This window comes from Homo sapiens, chromosome 1 (assembly GCF_000001405.40).
Source record: "Homo sapiens chromosome 1, GRCh38.p14 Primary Assembly".
Taxonomy (NCBI): Eukaryota; Metazoa; Chordata; class Mammalia; order Primates; family Hominidae; genus Homo; species Homo sapiens.
The window spans coordinates 229,588,374-229,608,568 of record NC_000001.11 but is presented as its reverse complement, the minus strand read 5'-3'; the positions used below and the strand labels follow the sequence as shown (position 1 = coordinate 229,608,568).

Below are 20,195 nucleotides of genomic sequence, written 5' to 3'. Positions count from 1 at the left end.
AACCAATGCCAATGATAAAAAATATCTCTAAGTTCTTACCTCTCAATGAAAGAAACCCTTATTATAAATTCGGTTTTTCTTTTTTTATCCTTAGTGGAAATTGATCACTGCACTGAAATATTTAAGATTTATATGATATGCAGAATTAATGGAACTTCCTTTTTTTCAAACATAATAGAGTCATTTTACTAAAGCCTTAATTTTCATGATTTTTCGTTTTTGTAACTATTAAACAGACTATTCTCTACTTATGAATTCTGTCACCCAACAACCATGAAACTGATAAGATAACCCCACTAGAGGGTTTTATTTTGTAACCCTTATTTCCTGTAATATTTTGACCATTTTCTCCAACTGTAGACTATAGTAAATATAGATTCTTTGCTTTAAAATACCATTATGGGGGCCAGGTAAAACTAGGATAATTCTATGCGTGTGTAAGGCCAGGTGTATTATTTTGGTTTATATATTGATTACTGTATACTCGTCGTTTACCATTAAAAATTATTACCACAAGGATTGTTTGGCCAGAACTTTACATTTCAAAAGATTATAGTCTATCAACCATTTCCTTTAAGTTCTTACTTTATTTCTGAACTGAGAAAGTTGTCTGTTATTTTGTCTGTAATTTGATTCTTTAATCCTTTGGTTTAAAGGATCATTATTTTAAAGGGGTTAATATATATTGATCACTTTGGACTGCTGCTCCTGGAATATTTTTCTCTACCCTCAGGTCTCTGAAGAGCAGTTAACCAAATCAAATGAATAGTTATTTCCTGATCACCAAGATAAAGTGTAAGATATACTCATTAATCTATTTTAGAAGCAGTCCTAGCATAAAAACACTATAGGTAAAAGTTTTTACATAAAATTTGAATATCACAGAAGCACTTTCACAGACCAGCATGAGATCAATTGCTGAATCATATAGGAATTGCATTCAGAATGAAAGGAGAAAGTGATTTGGTTGGCGGTAGTCAGAGAAGGCTTTACTGAGCAGGAGGTAGGCTTTAAGTCAGCACTTGAAGGATGGATTGAGTTTCAGTAGACTGGAAGAGGAGGAGGAAGAGGAGTAATTTGGGTAAGAAATAACATGAGCAAAAAGGCAGGCTTGACGACTGTACAGGAACAACTAAGGCTTTGTTGTGAATGGGGGTTTCAGGCTGGAGATCAATGAATATTAGTCTGAAAGCAGTTTGTAAAATTATTTGTAAGAGGAATGGCAGGGAGACTGACTGTGAATTAAAGTGCTTGGCAATCTTGAGAAATGAGGTGAGAAAGGACCAGAATTTGACAGCATTGTGGAACTGGAAGGCAGGAGCTTTATTTCATAGTTAAATTACCAAGGTGGAATCTCCAAGGCTCAGGAGTAAAGGAGGAAGAAGAGGTGACGATGGCTCAGGCTTTAAGACTGGAGTGGAGATGAAGATTTATTGAAAATAAATAAGTCAGAAGGGTTTATGTTTGTTAAATTGTCATGACAGTGGCATCCTACTGCATAGCTTGCAGTGGGAAATTTGAGGCTAGGATTTAGGAGAAAGATAAAGACTTGTAATAAAGAACATGTAGCATCAGCTACATGGAGATGCAAATTAAAGTCTTAAGAAGTGATAAAATCTCAAAGGAAGATACTAGGGAAAGATATAAGAGTATCTATGTCTATATCCACCTGAATGTATTTTTCCTCCACAGGTTGTCTGTAGATGAGAGATTCTGTGAGCTCACCTATTGCCGTAGGTCCTATTCTTCAGGAGGTGTAGTGGGAAGAACACAGCCTTTGGAGTCAAGCAACCTCTGGATTTGAACCAGGGCCAGCTGTGACTCTTAAACATGATCATGGATGCAAAGTACCTGGCTCCTAAGAGGCACACACCCAGTGTTAATTCTTTAAAGTGAAATGAGCATTTGAGGATTGACAGGAGGAAGAGGAACCAAAAAGGGAGTGACGACAGGACCAAGTAGTGTGGGCTTTCAGAATAAAGGACAGAGGAGTGCTAGTCAATAGAGCCAAACCTTGAAGAAAGGTAGAGGAGAATGAGGACCGACAGGATTAGTTTTGTTTAATTTAGTATCCTTTTTACTACTAATTTCCATGAACTCATGAAAAACTCCATTGTTCTCTCATTTACCGCCAGTAGAGTTGGGCACCAGGTAGGCATTCATTACATTTCAGTGGGTAGATAGAAGGAAGAAAAAGTGTACTTTCAGAGGATATGTTTGTTACTTTTGCAGTTAGAAAAAAATATATTTTAAGTGAGTACACTTTCAGTAAAATACAGAGTATGTTAGATTGCAAGGGAATAATTTAAAATGGGAGTTAGAATTCTGAATCTCACCTTCTTCCAAATTGATCAGTTTTTTTGTTTTATACCCAGCATACTGTTCTCTTCAGACAAGAGAGAGCAATTAAGCAATTTTGAACCTATGAGCTGAAGCAACAGTGAATTTCAGTAAGTTTTAAAGTAGTACATCACTATTTCTTGATAGCTAGGTTTTTTTCTAAACTTACTCAATTGAAATGCCTCTCATTTTAGAAAAGGAGCCTGAAATTTTGTTTCTAAGGAATTGAAAACAATCCTTCATCCCAATAAAAAACAAAGGGAAAAGAAAAACCAAAATCTAGTCACAGTTCTCGAAAGAAACAGCCAAGAGCCAACAGGATGGATATGTAGAGGTTTACTTTAAGGAATTGTTCCATGCAATTGTGGAGGCTTGGCACATTCAAAATCAGGGCGGGCCAGCAGGCTGGAGACCCAGGAAAGAGTTAGTGTTGCAGTTCAAATCCAAAGGCTCTCTGCTGGCAGAATTCCTTCTACTAGGGGAAGATAAGTCTTTTTCTATTAAAGCCTAAACTGATTGATTGATTGATTGGATGAGGCCCACACTTTATGGAAGGTAATCTGCTTTACTCAAAGTCTACTGACTTAAATGTGTTAATCTCATCTAAAAAAAAAAATACCTTCACAGAAACATTTAAAATAATGTTTGACTGAATATCTGTGTGCCGTGGGCCCCCCCACAGTTTGACATGTAAAAGTAACCTCACAAGTCCACTCCTTATTAACTTGGCACCTGTATGCATCTCCTTATTCCATACTTAATCTCCAAATAAAGAGAATAACAAGTTCATACTTCCACCTAACCTAATAAAATTATCCTGTGTACAACCAAAAAACACACTAACCTTTTCCCCGGAGGAGAATGCAAAGTCCTTGGATGATGTTTACTCCTCTCCGTGATATTCCATAATTTTGATACGGTGAGGTAAAGTTAACAATACTTAAATACTATGATATGGAGTCAGTAATCTGGCCAGGCACAGTGGCTCACACCCTTAATCCCAGCACTTCAGAAGGCTGAGATGGGTATATCACTTAAAGTCAGGAGCTCAAGACCAACCTGGCCACCATGATGAAACCTCATCTCTACTAAAAAAAAAATACATATATATATATATATACATACAAAAATTAGCTGAGCGTGGTGTCACACGCCTGTAGCTACTCAATAGGCTGAGGCAGGACAATCACTTGAACCCAGGAGGCAGAGGATGCAATGAGCCGAGATCGCGCCACTGTACTCCAGCCTGGGTGACGGAGCGAGACTCCATCTCAAAAAAATAAAGTCAGTAATCCGATGTTCCATGATAAGGGAACGAGAAAGGAAAGAATGCGAAGATATTTTCTTTTTATATATCTATATATAGATATTCACACCAAAACATTCGTAACAAAACAAGAAATACAACAATTACAGTCCTCGTTTCTGTAGCTGGTCACATGGTGGTTGCTGGTATTCATGGTTGCCTCTTTCCACTACCCATTCTGTATTCCCTTTGCACTCATCTCGCAAGCTGATCGTGGTTTACCTGGTGGGGTGACCCAAACCTTCATTCTTCAGGGGTGTGGGCCATTCATAGTCCTGTATGGATTGTTGTCATTTTTATCGACTGTAATCACAGGGCAGGGTACAGAGATGTCCTAAGGGATCTCCTTAAGCCAGACATACTCCTCCTTACCTCCATTGTGTAGCAGTTCCAGTTCCTCTTGGGCAGGATCAATTACCCCAGCCAACACTGTAACTCCCTTCCTTGCCTATTGATTCAGAGGTGTGAGGAGCCCAAAGTGGCTGGGTGGCTGTCTTAACTTCCAGTTCAGTGGAATGATTGTAATTTTTCATCCTCTAAATAATGAGTAGGGATACATTTATTCTAAAATGCATATTATGAATATTATGCAGCAGATTCATTCACCTTGTGATAAAGTGAAATAGGGTGTTAAGCAGAAATAACATGCAGATATCTTTTATCATCAAATTAGGGAGCAAGATTCTCTGATGCAGTATTCCTCAGTCTTAAACCCTGTATTGATGCCTTTTCATGAAAAAAAAAAAAAATGCTACCAGAACATAAGTGCTGACTTAAAACATTTTTATTTTAATTTATTTAAATATGTACAAACATTACACTAGATCTAAAACCTTTATGCTTATTATATTTCTTTATGAAACCCAGACTCATTACAGATAAGGGACAAGCAAAACCCCAAAGGCAGTCAAGTTGAAAATAACACTGAGTGAATGTAACGGATGGATTTTGCCAGAACTACCTTGCTACTGCAAGCAGGCATCTGGACAGCACTGGTGACTGTGACACGGGCTGGTCTCAGCTCCTTGGGGGGCTTCTGCCCTGCAGTGGCCCTGCTGTCTCCCCACTGTGTATGAATCACATCGAAACCTTTGCTCCCTCACAGCATGCCTTAAGCACTTATTTAGGTGTCAATTATACCTCTGTTCTTTTCTCATTCACCCATGAATTCAAGCTGTACACCTTTTAAATAACATTCTCTGTCTTACAGTTTCATGGCGCTAAACTCCCAAGTTAGTAAGTAGTTGAGTCTTAATGACGTAAAATGGTCTTATTTGTAAATTATCACTGCAAAAGAGAATTTAACTTGTTAACCAACAAAATCAGAATGAATATGCTGATGAGACAATTGTTAATGAAGGCTGTCATGTTAACACAGGACACGCCAGCCTGTATAACCAGACATGTTAATGAGCCCACTAAAATAAGTGCTTTGATTTTACTTGAGACAATGGATGCCAAAAGTAATCACAAAACACAAACTAGAGCACTAAAATCACTTGTCAGTACTTACTTGTTAAGCGGACATCCAGATAATTCTGAATATACTGTGTGTTGATTATTTTTTATATTATCATCACATTAAAAAATTGTGAAGAACTCAATCTTCCAAGAATATGTCTAAGTACCCTCAGATATCTGAGGTCCCCAATTTGAAGAAACACTAACATATTGGGAAAAAATACTAAATCTTGAAGACCTGGGTACAAGCCACTGTATTGTTGTGAACTCTGGCAAGTCACTTAACCACTCTGGGCATTAAGTTCCTGCGTTGTGCCCAACTTCAGGCCCTGATTTGCTGGACTTCAGAGTTCATGCTCTTTCTTCAATCAAAAGGCCTTTGAAATTCCAGAATCCTGTGTTGGGCTTATAGTTCAATCAGTACTCTTAAAAAATGGGGTCCTGGCAAGAAAGCATTATATGATGGTGGTGATCCCCAGGAGGGATCACGTTATTCTGTAAGATTATGCTGATTATAAAGCCTTCTTTTTCTTTCATTATAGATTCTGATTCCCAGCATAGCCACGAAGTGATGCCTCTCCTCTATCCTCTCTTTGTCTACCTCCATCTCAACCTGGTCCAAAACAGTCCGAAGAGCACAGTGGAAAGTTTTTACAGCCGCTTCCATGGAATGTTTCTGCAGAATGCTAGCCAGAAGGATGTCATTGAGCAGCTACAGACCACTCAAACCATCCAGGACATCCTATCTAACTTCAAGCTTCGAGCATTCCTAGATAACAAGTACGTGGTCCGTCTCCAAGAAGACAGCTACAACTACCTTATCCGCTACCTCCAAAGTGACAACAATACTGCCCTGTGCAAAGTCCTCACCTTACATATTCATCTTGACGTGCAGCCTGCCAAGAGAACAGACTATCAGCTGTATGCCAGTGGCAGCTCCTCCCGCAGTGAGAACAACGGTTTGGAGCCCCCCGACATGCCCAGCCCTATTCTGCAGAACGAGGCTGCCCTAGAGGTCTTACAGGAGAGCATTAAGCGAGTCAAGGATGGGCCTCCCTCCCTCACTACCATCTGCTTCTATGCCTTCTATAACACAGAGCAGCTGTTGAACACTGCAGAAATCTCCCCCGATAGCAAGCTGCTTGCTGCTGGGTTTGACAACTCCTGTATAAAACTTTGGAGTTTACGATCCAAGAAGTTAAAATCAGAGCCCCACCAAGTAGACGTGTCCCGCATCCATTTGGCTTGTGATATTCTGGAGGAGGAGGTATGAATACCATTTTTTTCTTCCCTGCACCCGCCTTCCTAATTTCCTTAGAATGTCCTTACCAAACACGACATATCTTAGAATGGACTTCCTAGTTTCCCTCATCATATAGCTAAAGCCAGACTAATGACATGTTACCTGTAGCCATTGAATTCCTGCACATGCCTAACCTAAGATGCAAAAACAATTTTTAGCAGCATTAACTTCTTATTAATGAATGGTCAGTATTTATACTATGTGAAATGTGGATAGCAACACTAAGCCTAATGAAAGACCTTTAGCTAATATTGACTTTAGCTGAGATTTGCAGTAAATATACACTTATGTGTGTGCACATTTGCTCAGGTACAAATAATCGGTAGTAGGATAACTGAGTCGAAGGGCCTCCATTGTCAACTGTAATGAATATTATTTTCCCCACAGAAGGTTGTGCCATTTCACAGTCTCAGCAACAGTAGTAAGAATACTGGCATCCCTGCACCCTCACCACACTGGATGGATGGTATTGGCTTTCTGAGGCCAGTGCATATCCTGTGGCTCCATGTACCCCGGGGTGTTCCCAGACCCCACTTGGAGAAGTAACACAGGAAGTAGAGTTGCCAGCTCCCCTCCCCCCGTCAGTCAGTGTTCAATCTTGTTTGGCTTGTAACCGTTTAGGACAGTCATTGAAAAGGGCAGGCGCAGCTTGGGTTTCAGGTCACCAAAAATCACTACCTTAGAAAAAATGTGGGCCAAGGAAGATAGAAATTAAACTTCACAGCATTAACTTTTCTTTAGAGTGGTCCTGAAAAAGCTGTGGGCCAAAGTATTTTTGTCTTATCACCACTGAAATTCAGGTAGCTCTGCCTCACATTACTTTGGATGGAAAATTCTTTACACAATGTTGAATAATTAAGGAGCAAAAAAATCACTCTAATTAAATTACAGTTAATGATAAGGATGTCAAGAATATTGGGTGCCCTAAATTAAACCATTGTTTTCCTGTTCCTGTTTTCTGAGTCCACTTCCAGTTAGGATGGCCTTTGAATTTTTGATTCTTGCAACCGAGACAGTATAATTGAAGGATTTCCTTGTGATGAGTGAAGAGTCTAGATTCCCATGTAGAAGCTTTAATTTCTAGAATTTTATAGTACTCTCCAAAATATTTTTTATTACATTTGTATTTGAATTTTCAAACATCTCTTTTCCTTGGAGACAGTTCCCTTTTTGGGAGTTCTTCTGATAAAACTGAGGAATACTGCCTGCATTTGCTTTCGATTTTCTGTAAATACAAAAAAAAATTACACTGACCTTATTAGCTTTGATGATACAGAGTTTGGAGATTATTCTGTGCATTAAAAATTAATATTAAAGAAGATAGCATTATGACATCTGATAACAGTAGACCAAAATAAAACATTTTAAGACTCTGGCCACTACTGGTAACTAGCTCTGTGGCTTGTCCTATGTTTATTTCCGGGTATCAGAAGTGTATCTGAAGACTCAGAAGTGAGGAACCGCATGCGGAATTCCAGGAACTGAAAGAAATTAAGTATGGCTGGAGTTAGGAGAGGGGCCAAGACAGGAAGTGATGTAGTGACACTGTCTTATATGAGCAATTATGGCGGCCAAACTAGGGTAGTGGCAGTGGCAAAGGAGACATGGATGGACTAGAGAAGAGCTCGGTTATTCAATTACTGTAGGGGATAAGGGAGAGCAAGCATCAAGGGTGACGTTTGTGTTTCAGGCTTAAACAGTTGGATGTCCATCAAGAAGAAAGCAAAAGACGTCATTGGAATGGTGGTTTTGTTTAAGCATTTCTGGCTTTCCATCATGGTTCATACTGAAAGTACTGTAGATGCTAGCTAACCTCTGCCCTTTTTAAGAATAAACCTTTTTTTTAAACTTAAGAACTAAAGCTGAGATTCTCCTATTCTGTTGTTGAGGGGCTTCCTGCATGCCCGCCCATTTTATCACAGCAATTTGAGAAGTTTTCTTTTTGGTTTCTGACAACAAGCATTTGGGGAGAAAGCCAGGCATAAATTAGTTACGATAGTTGGTGTTTAATGTTTCTCCAGTGAAAATTTGGACTTTTCTTTTTCCCTTATAGAATGCATAATTAAAACAGACTATTATTTTGAAATGAAATATTGAATATTAAAAAAAATAAAATAGAGACTCTTAATACAGGAGCCACAAACTCACATACCTAGAGAAACCAAACAGGTAAAAGCAAGTGGTGAAGCCACATGGATTAATGAGATGATAGAAAGTACAAAATCACTATGTAAGTCAGATTAAAAAGCCAGCTTGCACTCTCTGCTTTCATCTTTTTGAAGCAATAACTATTACATAAATCAGTGAATACAGTATTTCTACAGTATTTGAAACGGTGTTCACACCCAGCAATTCCACTTCTAGACATATATCCAAGAGAATGGAAAACATGTGCACACAGGCACTTGTACATGAATATTTATGGAAGCATTATTCACAATAGCCAAAAAGTGGAAACAGTCCAAATGGCCATCAAGATGAATGAATAAATAAAATGTAGTGTGTGCATGCAGTGGAATATTATTTGCCCATAAAAAGAAATGAAGCACTGATGCAGGCTGCAACATGGATGAACTTGAAAGCTTTATGCTACGTGAAAGAAGCCAGTCATAAAAGGTCACCTACTGTTATTCCTTTCATAGGAAATATCCAGATAGGCAAGTCCATAGAGACAGAGAGGAGAGGAGTGGTTGCCAGGGGCTGGGCAAGGAGAATGAGAGTGACCGCTAATGGGTGTGGCATTTCTTTGTGAGGTAATGAAAATGTTCTGTATTAGATAGTGGTGATCATTGCACAACTCTGTGAATGTACTAAAAATCATTGAATTGTACACTTTGAAAGAATTATATAGTATGTAATTATATCTCAGTTTAAAAAAAAAAACAGGATAACAGTAACCAAAATCTTCTATGTAAGCTTAAAATTTTCTCTGTTAATTATGCCAAATAAAACTGAATTCACAGCACTGTCCTGTAGCTTCTGTTGTCTCCCACTTAAAGATCATCTAGGTTAACCTTTGGAAAGGTGTTAAGTGACATAGCAGTCCCTTGCTTTTTACCTTGGTATGAGCAGCCCTCCTCCTGTTTCAGACACTGAGATGAAGAGTGAAACCTTCATTCTCCATCTTTTGTTCTATATGAAATGGAGATAGAAATGATATCTGGCTGGGTGCGGTGGCTCACGCCTGTAATCTCAGCACTTTGGGAGGCCGAGGCAGGTGGATCACAAGGTCAGGAGTTCAAGACCAGCCTGGCCAAGATGGTGAAACCCCATCTCTATGAAAAATACAAAAATTAGCTGGGCGTGGTGGCAGACACCTGTAATCCCAGCAACTCAGGAGGCTGAGGCAGGAGAATCACTTGAACCCAGGCAGCAGGGGTTGCAGTGAGCTGAGACCGCGCCACTGCACTCCAGCCTGGGCGATAGAGTGAGATTCTGTCTCAAAAAAAAAGAAAAAAAAAAAAAAAAGAGATATCCAACCCTTACCCCTGTTGATTGATACCTATGTATTTTTAATATTTGAGCAACATGGCAAAACCACAGAGATACCAAACCAAGGATTTGCTCTTCTTTCTTTTCAGCTGTGTGTATGCAGCTACCCTTATCACTACCAGCACCCGCCTCCTTAACTCAGCAGTAAAACAGCTGTGTGCAATTCATTTATATGTCTGGTGGTTTTGCCCCCAATCTGGTCTTCTTTAGGTTTGAAAAGTAAAGAAGGCAATATTAGCAGCAATACTCAATTCTATAATCTGTGTATCAAATTGTCATTTAGATTAATGCTATCCAATGGGAATATGATGTGAGCCATATAGTAATTTAAATTTTTCTAGTAGCCACATCTAAAAAGGTTAAAAATTTGTTAATTTTAATGATGTATTTCATTCAAACTAATATGAACAAATTATTTCAGCATGTAAGCAATATAAAAAATCATTCATGAAACCTGTTACATACATCTCTTTTGGTCCTAAGTTTTAGAAATCTGATATGTATTTTACATGAACAGCACATGTCAATTCATGCTAGCCAGTATCCAACTTTTCTGTTCTAGTTCAGGCTGCTGTCATCTCCCACGTAGATAGCAGTGATTCACTTGCTTCCAAGTCTAATACACTCACAAGTCCAGCCAAATTTAATGTCTTCCTGTTCCACTGACAGCTAATTAGAGAATAGATGGAGGCTAAATTCCAGACCCCAAGAAAGGACCCCTGGTCTGGGGGAAACGTGAGTGTGAGCTCTGAGGTAGTTGGAGCCTCAGAGTCCAGGAGCAGACGGCCATAACAAATCTGAGGTTTTAGGGACTCCATAGTCCAGAGCAGGGGCAGCAAACTACAGCACAAGGGTGCATGAGATGATACTTGATCTCTTTATGTTTATTTTTCTTGTTAAATTTCTATTTCATGTGTGTTTCATAATGTATATAATAAGATTTATTATTACATGAATATGCTTTACAAATTAAACATTTCTATTTGGGATGCATACCCAATTACTGTGGAGTATTCAGGCTGAATCGTAGGGTATGGTATTATCCTGTCGGCAGGAGAGAGAAGTGAAAACCCATGGCGTTGGGCCCTTGTAAATCAGCTGCTCGACCGTGCTGAGGCCCGTGTGGGACTGGTTGAGCCACACAGAAAATGTGGCTGGGTTATTTTAAGCTGTGGTCCTGGCAGAGGGCTGACAGTGATAGCCAACAGGAACATTCTGGTTTCTCCATTCCTTGGTCTACAGAGTCAGCTGGACACGTTTCCACCAGCCTGGGACAATCATCAAGATCCCTGGGGAGCACCAGCTGGACTCCCAGCCCATGCTCCTAGCCCATGCACCTTCATCTCCAATTGTGATGCCTTCACCACTGAGGAGGTGAAGGCCACTTCCATAGCTTCTTGTTCCAAATGAAGACCACTTACACCTCAGAGGCAGTAACATGTCCTTTAATTCACAGTTAACTTTCACAGGATCTTTGTTTAATTCATCTGGTGTCATTTTTGTTCCCACAGTCTTTATATAAACTTTCTGGTGTAGAGCAGTGAGTCATTCTTGAAATTTTAAAGTGTTGTTGTAACTTCTTTGGAAAGGAAAATTACTAATATTCTTGGTAGCACTCAGTAGACCCTTAAGCTCCCAAATACTTAATGTATTTTTAATGTTGAGTGTTTGGAATAGCCATTGTGAATATTCATGGACATCAGTGTTTATTTTCTCTCAACTTTTTCTTAAATATGTACACATGGGAGGCATTCATTTTATTTTGAATTTAACTATTTTCAAGTAGAAAAAAAAGGTGCCCTTTTCTTATACAAGAACCTAAGGCTGCCACAATGAACCAACAAAGCTGACTGGTTTGGGGATCTTCATCATACTCCTTTCTTCTGGTGTTTAATTAAAACCCATTTTAATTGATGAATTCTGGGACAGAAGAGACAGCTGTAGTTTTGAGGAGTTTATCTATGTGGGAATAAAGGGAAATGAATTTTGAAAACAGATGGTATACTTGTGGGGAGAGGACCAGGAAAGAGGACTCTTTCTGAGTACCATTAGTTGCCGTCTTTTCTGTCGTCACACACAGGAAATTATTTCGAAGAATCACATGAATCGCTTGGCTTTGCTTCAAGCACTTCTGAATCCACACCTTGTTTTGTTACGTTGGGGGAGATGTTTTTTGAGACCCTCCAGAAAGTCACTTTAAAAACTTCATTCTTATTTATTTTGAAACACTAAGCAGTTTGTGGCTGGTCACTAGGCAGGGGGAGCTGTGATTTACTAGTAACTGTACCTTTCTAGCTTAGTGTTAATTCTTAAACATCCAGGTTTTATTTTGGCTAAACTCCTCTGATAGTTCTGGGTTTTGTTTGTGTTTGTTTTTGTTTTGGGTTTTTTTGGGCACAGGGTCTTGCTCTGTCCCCCAGGCTGGAGTGCAGTGGTGCCATCACAGTTCACTGCAACTTCAACTTCCCAGGCTCAAGTGAGCCTCCTACCTTAGCCTCCCAAGTGTCTGGGACCACAGGCATGCGCCACCATGCCCAGCTAATTTTTTAAATTTTTTTGGTAAAGAATCTCCCTATGTTTCCCAGGCTGGTCTCCCAACTCCTTAGCTCCAGTGATCCTCCTGCCTTGGCCTCCCAAACTGTTGGGATTACAGTGCGAGCCACCATGCCTGAACCAATGGTTGTGTGTTAATCTTGAAGTGAGGCTGGGCGCGGTGGCTCATGCCTATAATTCCAGCACTTTGGGAGGCCAAGGCGGGCGGATCACCTGAGGTCGGGAGTTCAAGACCAGCCTGACCGACATGGAGAAACCCCATCTCTACTAAAAATACAAAATTAGCCAGGCGTGGTGGCACATGCCTGTAATCCCAGCTACTTGGGATGCTGAGGCAGGAGAATCGCTTGACCCCAGGAGTCGGAGGTTGTGGTGAGCCGAGATCACACCATTGCACTCCAGCCTGGGCAACAAGAGCGAAACTCCATCTGAAAAAAAAAAATCTTGAAGTGATACCACATCTGCCTTCATGTGTCGCTGTGTCCATCATTAACCCCCATCATGGGAGTAAGGAACATGTCAGGACTTAACGAAATGTTGTTGTCAGTTAAATGGAGTAAAAACAGCAGTATGGCTTATAAAGCAGCTAAAACTGATGGATGAAGGCAATGCCCATAGAATAGAACAATCTAAGAGCCTCACGTAAATTCAAAAGTAAATATTTTCAAATGGCACACATCAGAATTAACCATACAAGCTATCCTCAATCAAAGGGTAAGGTCCACAGTCATTACTCTGTAATGGCCTTGCATTTCTGTATCTTTTAATCTGATATAGTCTGAGCTGCAAGGTGAATTTAAGGGGAGCAATTTGTAAGTCGTAAGAGACTTTTATTCAGTTATGAGTTATCTTCCTGGGGTAGCGTTCAAGGGCAAGGCCACTGTCATTTGCTGGATAGATGCTATTTCCCAAGCAGTCTCAGTTCTCTACTTTTTTTTCTCCTGGACTTGTTTTCCTTGTCAGACCACTGAACATTTTTTGTGTGTGTTTCTTTTCCCACCCCACCCCACTGTTCCCAGGATGATGAGGATGATAATGCAGGCACGGAGATGAAGATACTGCGGGGCCACTGCGGACCAGTGTACAGCACGAGGTTCCTCGCGGACAGCTCAGGGTTGCTCTCTTGTTCTGAAGACATGTCCATCAGATACTGGGATCTGGGGAGTTTCACCAACACTGTGTTGTACCAAGGACATGCCTATCCTGTGTGGGATCTGGACATCAGTCCATATAGCCTGTACTTCGCCAGCGGGTCCCACGACCGCACCGCCAGGCTGTGGTCATTTGATCGGACGTACCCGCTGAGGATATATGCAGGACACCTGGCAGATGTGGACTGTGTCAAATTCCACCCTAATTCAAACTACTTGGCCACGGGCTCAACCGACAAGACCGTCCGGCTGTGGAGCGCTCAGCAGGGGAACTCGGTGAGGCTTTTCACAGGCCACCGTGGCCCCGTGCTTTCTCTCGCCTTTTCTCCCAACGGTAAGTACTTGGCGTCTGCTGGCGAGGACCAGCGGTTGAAGCTGTGGGACTTGGCCTCTGGGACCCTTTATAAAGAGTTGAGAGGCCACACAGACAATATCACCAGCCTCACCTTCAGTCCAGACAGCGGCTTGATTGCCTCTGCCTCCATGGACAACTCGGTGCGCGTCTGGGACATCAGGAACACTTACTGCAGTGCACCTGCCGACGGCTCCTCCAGCGAGCTCGTGGGCGTGTACACCGGGCAGATGAGCAACGTCCTGAGCGTGCAGTTCATGGCCTGTAACCTTCTTCTGGTGACTGGAATTACACAAGAAAATCAGGAACATTAATTTTTTAACTTTGTTGGAACGGACTGGGGTAACAGTGGAAAGCCTCCAGTTGCAATCCTTCAATGAGCTGAGATTGAATCATTGACTGTGAAAGAGCCCCCTCCTCCCCTCTCTCCTGGGCCCTCATTCCGGGCAGGTCCCCCTTCACTCAGCCCCCCAGTGTCGAAGGCCAAGGTTGGGGAGGGGAACAGGAGAGAGGCAATGATGAGTGATCAAGAATTAGAGTGCCCTGGAGGTCACTCACAAGTCCTCATGGAGACTCTGCCGTGACCTCGCGCATGCGAGCACCTTCCTGTCTCTCATTTTCACCATCTGACTGGGGCTAGGTTTGGTTAGAGGGCGGCTGTAGAGCACCCTCAGGAGAAGTGGCGCCGCAGGGGTCACGCATGGTCCAGCCCTCAGGTGGGAGGGAAGTCCTTGTTGGCAGAGGGATGTGGGGCGGGAATGAGGAAAGGGGAGGGCATGATCCTGGCAAATAGTCTTTCCTTTTCCGTAATTACAGAGAACCAGGATTTTTTTTAATTATTGTTATTATAATTATAATTATTATTATTATTGACATGAGGAAACCTAGCACTGGCAGAGGGCACCTTCTCTGCTTTTAATCTTTCAGGTTTGACTCCTGGCACTGGTTTTGATACTTGGAATTTTGAGGTTCAGGGAATTCAGAGAATTTGGTAGCACAGTGTATTGGGAGAAAGGGAAATTTCGGGTGACAGATTGATCACCCTGGCTGACATGTTTCTGGAAGTGGGTGGGTGGGTTTGATTGAGAACACTTTGGGCTCCTGCAGTGATGGTGGGAAAGAAAAATTCTTTCCAAAGCTGCACTTCTCTTAATAATTCTCTCCCCTCAAAAGAAAGATTATGATAAAGAATAATTTGGAGTAATAAGTAACAAGATAGAATTAGAAAAATGTTGAATTTCTGAATGACCATTCAGAGGTGTGGCTTTTTCCACGTCTTTTTCTCCTGCAATGAACTGCTCCCACGTCCTGCACTGCAATACCAGTCTAATGAACACTTTGTGAAACAAATCGTAAGTATGTACGCACGCATATCAAACTATGCTCTGAGGATAAAGCAAGTTCTAATTTGTGGAAAAAGGATTAAATATTTCTGTTTTCTGAAAAGAGTTATTTTGTATTTTGTTTTCTATTAAAATGTATTTAGTTTCAAAAAAAAAAGTGTTGGCATCTCATTTCATCTCTGAGGACAGGCGGGTGAGTGTTCTGTCCTGGGATGGTGTGTCTCTCTCACCTCTCATCAGGGCAATAACCCGTCGGTTACCTAGGCCACACTGTCCCCAACGAAGGTGCATTTTTATCTGTTCTTGGGTTCTGTTTAGCTTACTTTGAATCATGATTCCCTTAGTATTCACTTGGATTATTGATGGCATTTAATGCTGTTTGTACATCCAAGATTGATAGTTGCTGACTGGAGACCACATATATTTCACCATCTAGAGTCATTTGATGAGATCCTACTTTGCACTTCCTTCAAAGACCCCACTATAAAATCTCCAAGGGGCATAAGAACTGGACTGTTCAATAAACTCAAACTATGTATTGAACAATTCCAGATAAAGGACTCGTTCAAAGTAAAGTGAACTTCAAAACATAATTTTCTCAGCCGGGTGTAGTGGCTCACTCTTGTAATCCCAGCACTTTGGGAGGCCAAGGCAGGCAGATTACCCAAGGTCAGGAGTTTAAGACCAGCCTGGCCAACATGGCAAAACCTCATCTCTACTAAAAATATAAAAATTAGCCGGGCGTGGTGGCGGGCACCTGTAATCCCAGCTACTCAGAAGTCTGAGGCAAGAAGAATCGCTTGAACCTGGGAGGCGGAGGTTGCAGTGAGCTGAGATCGAATCACTGCACTCCAGCCTAGGAGACAGAGCGAGACTGTCTCAAAAAAAAGAAAAAAATAATAATTTTCTGACAAGGACACCAAGAATCATTAGGAAATTAAGTAGGAAGACTAGAATTCTATGCCAGTTTTTTTTTTTTTTACTTGAACCTACAATGCTGATTAATCAGAAATGTTTCTTATTTATAAAATCCATATATTTGAGACACTGGAAGAAGGGTCCTTTGGTAGTAGCCTGATGGCATCACCTTCCGTGTGTTCTGCACGTAAAGCCTAGAGTTCAAATGTGTTCTGATCTGTAATAAGCAAACTCTTAGGTGAGATGCTGTGGTATATTACCAGAAACAACAAAATCTCTAAGTTGGACAGAATTATTCTCTGAAGTGAAAGTACATCTCTGACAGGATGATTTGGAAAGGTTTTGTGTGTGTTTGTGGGTTAGCGCAGAGAGATTGCACTCTTTTCTCCAAAGGGTAGGCATGCAGGACTTGCACCATTTTGTAGACGACATACTTAATGCGCAGCAACGCTCTGTTACTCGTCCATATCTGACATGGAATAGTCACAGGTCTTGAATATGCTCCATAGATTCAGTATCCTTAGGTTCTAGCAGGAGGGTGTAGCCATGGAGATAGAAAAATATTTTTTAAAAACCTCCAAAAAAGAAATAAGGATATTTAATAAGCATGTAGGTAATAGTTACCATGGGCTAGAAACTGCTCCAAGTGGTTTATGAAAATTAACTTATTTTATCTCAAAAACCCTCTGAGGGGAGTGTATTTTTAACCCCATTTCACAGATGAGGATTCCGAGGCACTGAAGGATTAAGTCACTTGCCAAGGGTCACAGCTGGTTGTCGAGGAAGCCAGATTTTAACCTGGGCATTCTGGCTGCAGAGCTCCTGCTTTTATCCCTACTCTGTTGTCTGCCTTCATTCCTGCAGTACCAGGTAAAGACGGAACTGTGGTTAGGAGTAACTAAATGTTCCCAGCCAAAGTTACGAGACTCTTGCTTCTCTCTGCCCAATAAACTAGCAGCAACAAACAGGATCAGGACCTGGCAGTAAGAATAGACCTAAACAATATATGGCAAAAAGAAACTTCAGGCCATGTGTGGTGGCTCACGCCTGTAATCCCAGCACTTTGGAGGCCGAGGCGGGCGGATCACCTGAGGTCAGGAGTTCGAGACCAGCCTGGCCAACATGGTGAAACCCTGTGTCTACTAATATTAAAAAATTAGCTGGACCCACTTGGTGACGCATGCCTGTAATCCCAGCTACTTGGGAGGCTGAGGCAGGAGAATCACTGGAACCTGGGAGGCGGAGGTTGCAGTGAGCCGAGATCGTGCCACTGCACTCCAGCATGGGCAACAGCGAGATTCCGTCTCAAAAAAAAAAAAAAAGAAAGAAACTTCAGAATATTCTGTTACTCTGAACCACAATGATAAATCTCTAAAATGTGTATAAGGTGCGGAAGTGTTTAACCAGCTGAGGCCACGCATGGTGGCTCACACCTATAATCCCAGCACTTCGGGAAGCCAAGGCAGGATTACTTGAGCCCAGGAGTTCAAGACCAGCCTGGGCAACATAGTGAGACCCTATCTCTACAAAAATTTTTTAAAAAATAGCAGGGCGTGGTGGCTCACTACTGTGCCCCCAGCTACTTGGGAGGCTGAGCTGGGAGGATCACTTAAGCCTGGGAGGTTGAGCCAGCCGTGAGCCATGATGACACCACTGCACTCCAGCTTGAGAGACAGCACAAGACCATGTCTTAAAAAAAAGTTTTTTAATAAAATGTAAAAATAACCAGCTGAAATTTCTTAGAATGACAGACTCAGAAAATCAGACTGTAATGTTAATTTAGCAAGAGACTGGCCAAATGGAAGAAAATTAAAGCAATGAATAAAGATGAAATAGGGAACAATTTAAAGTTTTTGTATTCAAGATTCAGCTTCTAAGGATATGATTACCACCTTTCTGTTTGTTTTATTTACATGTTTAAAATGTCTTGGTGGCATAAGAAAATGTATTGAGCATGGCAGACTTCTGATTTTGCTGTTGCCCAGATGGGTGTTTAAGTGTACGGATTAAAAGATTAGTCTGTGCTTCAACTTGGCTCTCAGTCGCATATTTTAGAAAGGTGTTCATTATATACCCAGCCCAGACCAAAAATTCTTTTTTTTTTTTTTTTGAGACGGAGTCTTGCTGTGTCACCCAGGCTGGAGTCTAGTGGCGTGATCTCAGCTCATGCAACCTCCACCTCCCTGGTTCAAGCCATTCCCCTGCATCAGCCTCCCGAGTAGCTGGGATTACAGGTGCACACCACCATGCCTGGCTAATTTTTTGTATTTTTAATAGAGATGGGATTTCACCATGTTGGCCAGACCAGTCTTGAACTCTTAACCTCAGGCAATCCACCTGCCTCAGCCTCCCAAAGTGCTGGGATTACAGGAATGAGCCACCACACCTGGCCAAAAATTCATATTGACACCTCACATAGCAGCAAAGTTAGTCTGAAACTGCATTGGGCTAAACAGAAAGTCTCTATTATAGAATTTAAGGAACACACTTTTTTTTTTGGAGACGAAGTCTCACTCTGTCACCCAGGCTGGAGTGCAGTGGTATGATCTTGGCTTACTGCAATCTCTGCCTCCCGCGTTCAAGCAATTCTCCTGCCTCAGCCTCCCAAGTAGCTGGGATTACAGGCATGTACAATTATTACACCTAGCTAATTTTTGTATTTTTAGTAGAGACGAGGTTTCACCATGTTGGCCAGGCTGGTCTCAAACTCCTGACCTCAGGTGATCCACTTGCCTCGGCCCCCCAAAGTGCTGGGATTACAGGCATGAGCCACCATGCCCGGCCAGGAACACAAATGTTTCTTGTCAATTTGACTAATTGAAGGACAACTTATTAACTTACCTATGATCGACTGAAATCTCTAAAATAAATTTTTATTTATTTCATCTTTTTTTGAGACAGAATCTCACTCTGCCTGCCCAGACGAGTACCGTGGTGTGAACACGGCTCATTGCAACCTCCGCCTCCTAGACTCAAGTGATCCTCCCACCTCAGTCTCCCAGGTAGCTGGGACCACAGACTTGCACACCATGCTAGGCTAATTTTGTAAATTTTTGTAGAAGTGAGTCTCTCACTGTATTGCCCAGGCTGGTCTCAAACTCTTGGGCTCAAGCAATCCTCCCACCTCAGTCTCCCAAAGTGCTAGGATTATAGGCATGAGCCACCGCACCTAGCCTAAAAGAAATTTGTATATAAAAATGTGAGTTTCTACTATGAGTGAACATTGTATCTGTGGGTAGAAATACAGTGGAAAGCAAAACTGATACAGTCCCTGGCTTGAGTTTATAGTTTAGAGAAGGAGACAGGTTTTTGTTTTTGCTTTTGTTTGTTTGTTTGTTTATTTTGAGATGAAGTTTTGCTCTTGTAACCCAGGCTGGAGTGCAATGGTGTGACCTTGGCTCACTGCAACTTCCGCCTCCCAGGTTCAAGCTATTCTCCTGCCTCAGCCTCCCGAGTAGCTGGGATTACAGGTGTGCACCACCATGCCCGGCTAATTTTTGTGTTTTTAGTAGAGGTGGGGTTTCACCATTTTGGTCAGGCTGGTCTTGAACTCCTGACCGCCAGCGATCCACCTGCCTCGGCCTCCCAAAGTGCTGGGATCATAGGCGTCAGCCACCGAGCCTGGCCGAGAGACAGATATTAATCAAAAACACCATAAAGATATAATTTCAAGCTGTAGTAAGTACAATCCAATGTGTTATGGAAATATATACCAGGGGATCTAATTTAGATTAAGCATTCAAAGAAGGCTTCTCTGAGGAAGTAGTAATTAAGCTTATACCTGGAGAATAAGTGGGAGTTAGCCAGGCAGAGTTGAATGGTGTGCAGACCCCAAAATGAGAAACAGACTGGTGCACTCGAAGCTCAGTGGGACAGCTGGCAGGGCCTTGGGCACCAGCGGGAATTTGGTTTTATCTTCAATGGGATGGAAGCCATTGAAGGATGTAGAAGAGGACAGTGATGTGATCCAGCCTCG

General features: G+C 41.7%; 1 protein-coding gene across 7 annotated transcripts in view, besides 1 other annotated feature; it reads left to right on the top strand.

Annotated features, from left to right (window-relative positions):
- The window catches only part of TAF5L (TATA-box binding protein associated factor 5 like), a 32,989-nt gene extending 17,554 nt beyond the window's left edge, over positions 1-15,435 (top strand). For 2 of the 7 annotated variants that reach the window (NM_014409.4, XM_005273099.5), the window contains exons 4-5: positions 5,650-6,374; positions 13,475-15,435. In NM_014409.4, coding sequence (NP_055224.1) covers positions 5,650-6,374; positions 13,475-14,272 — 1,523 coding nt within the window. In that variant the 3' untranslated portion in view covers positions 14,273-15,435. Of the gene's footprint in view, positions 1-733; positions 796-1,692; positions 2,152-2,375; positions 2,451-5,649; positions 9,376-13,474 lie in introns of those variants that run through there. The other 5 variants (XM_047417996.1, XM_011544164.3, XM_047417997.1 and 2 more) reach the window with 5 other exon arrangements.
- Positions 13,553-14,053: an enhancer, noted in NCBI's record as "H3K4me1 hESC enhancer chr1:229730263-229730763 (GRCh37/hg19 assembly coordinates)". NCBI's record gives its function as "activates a minimal SCP1, AML or CMV promoter by ChIP-STARR-seq in naive H9 embryonic stem cells {active_cell/tissue: H9 hESC(naive)}" and the evidence as "EXISTENCE:reporter gene assay evidence [ECO:0000049][PMID:30033119]".
- Positions 15,436-20,195: the final 4,760 nt, after the last annotated feature.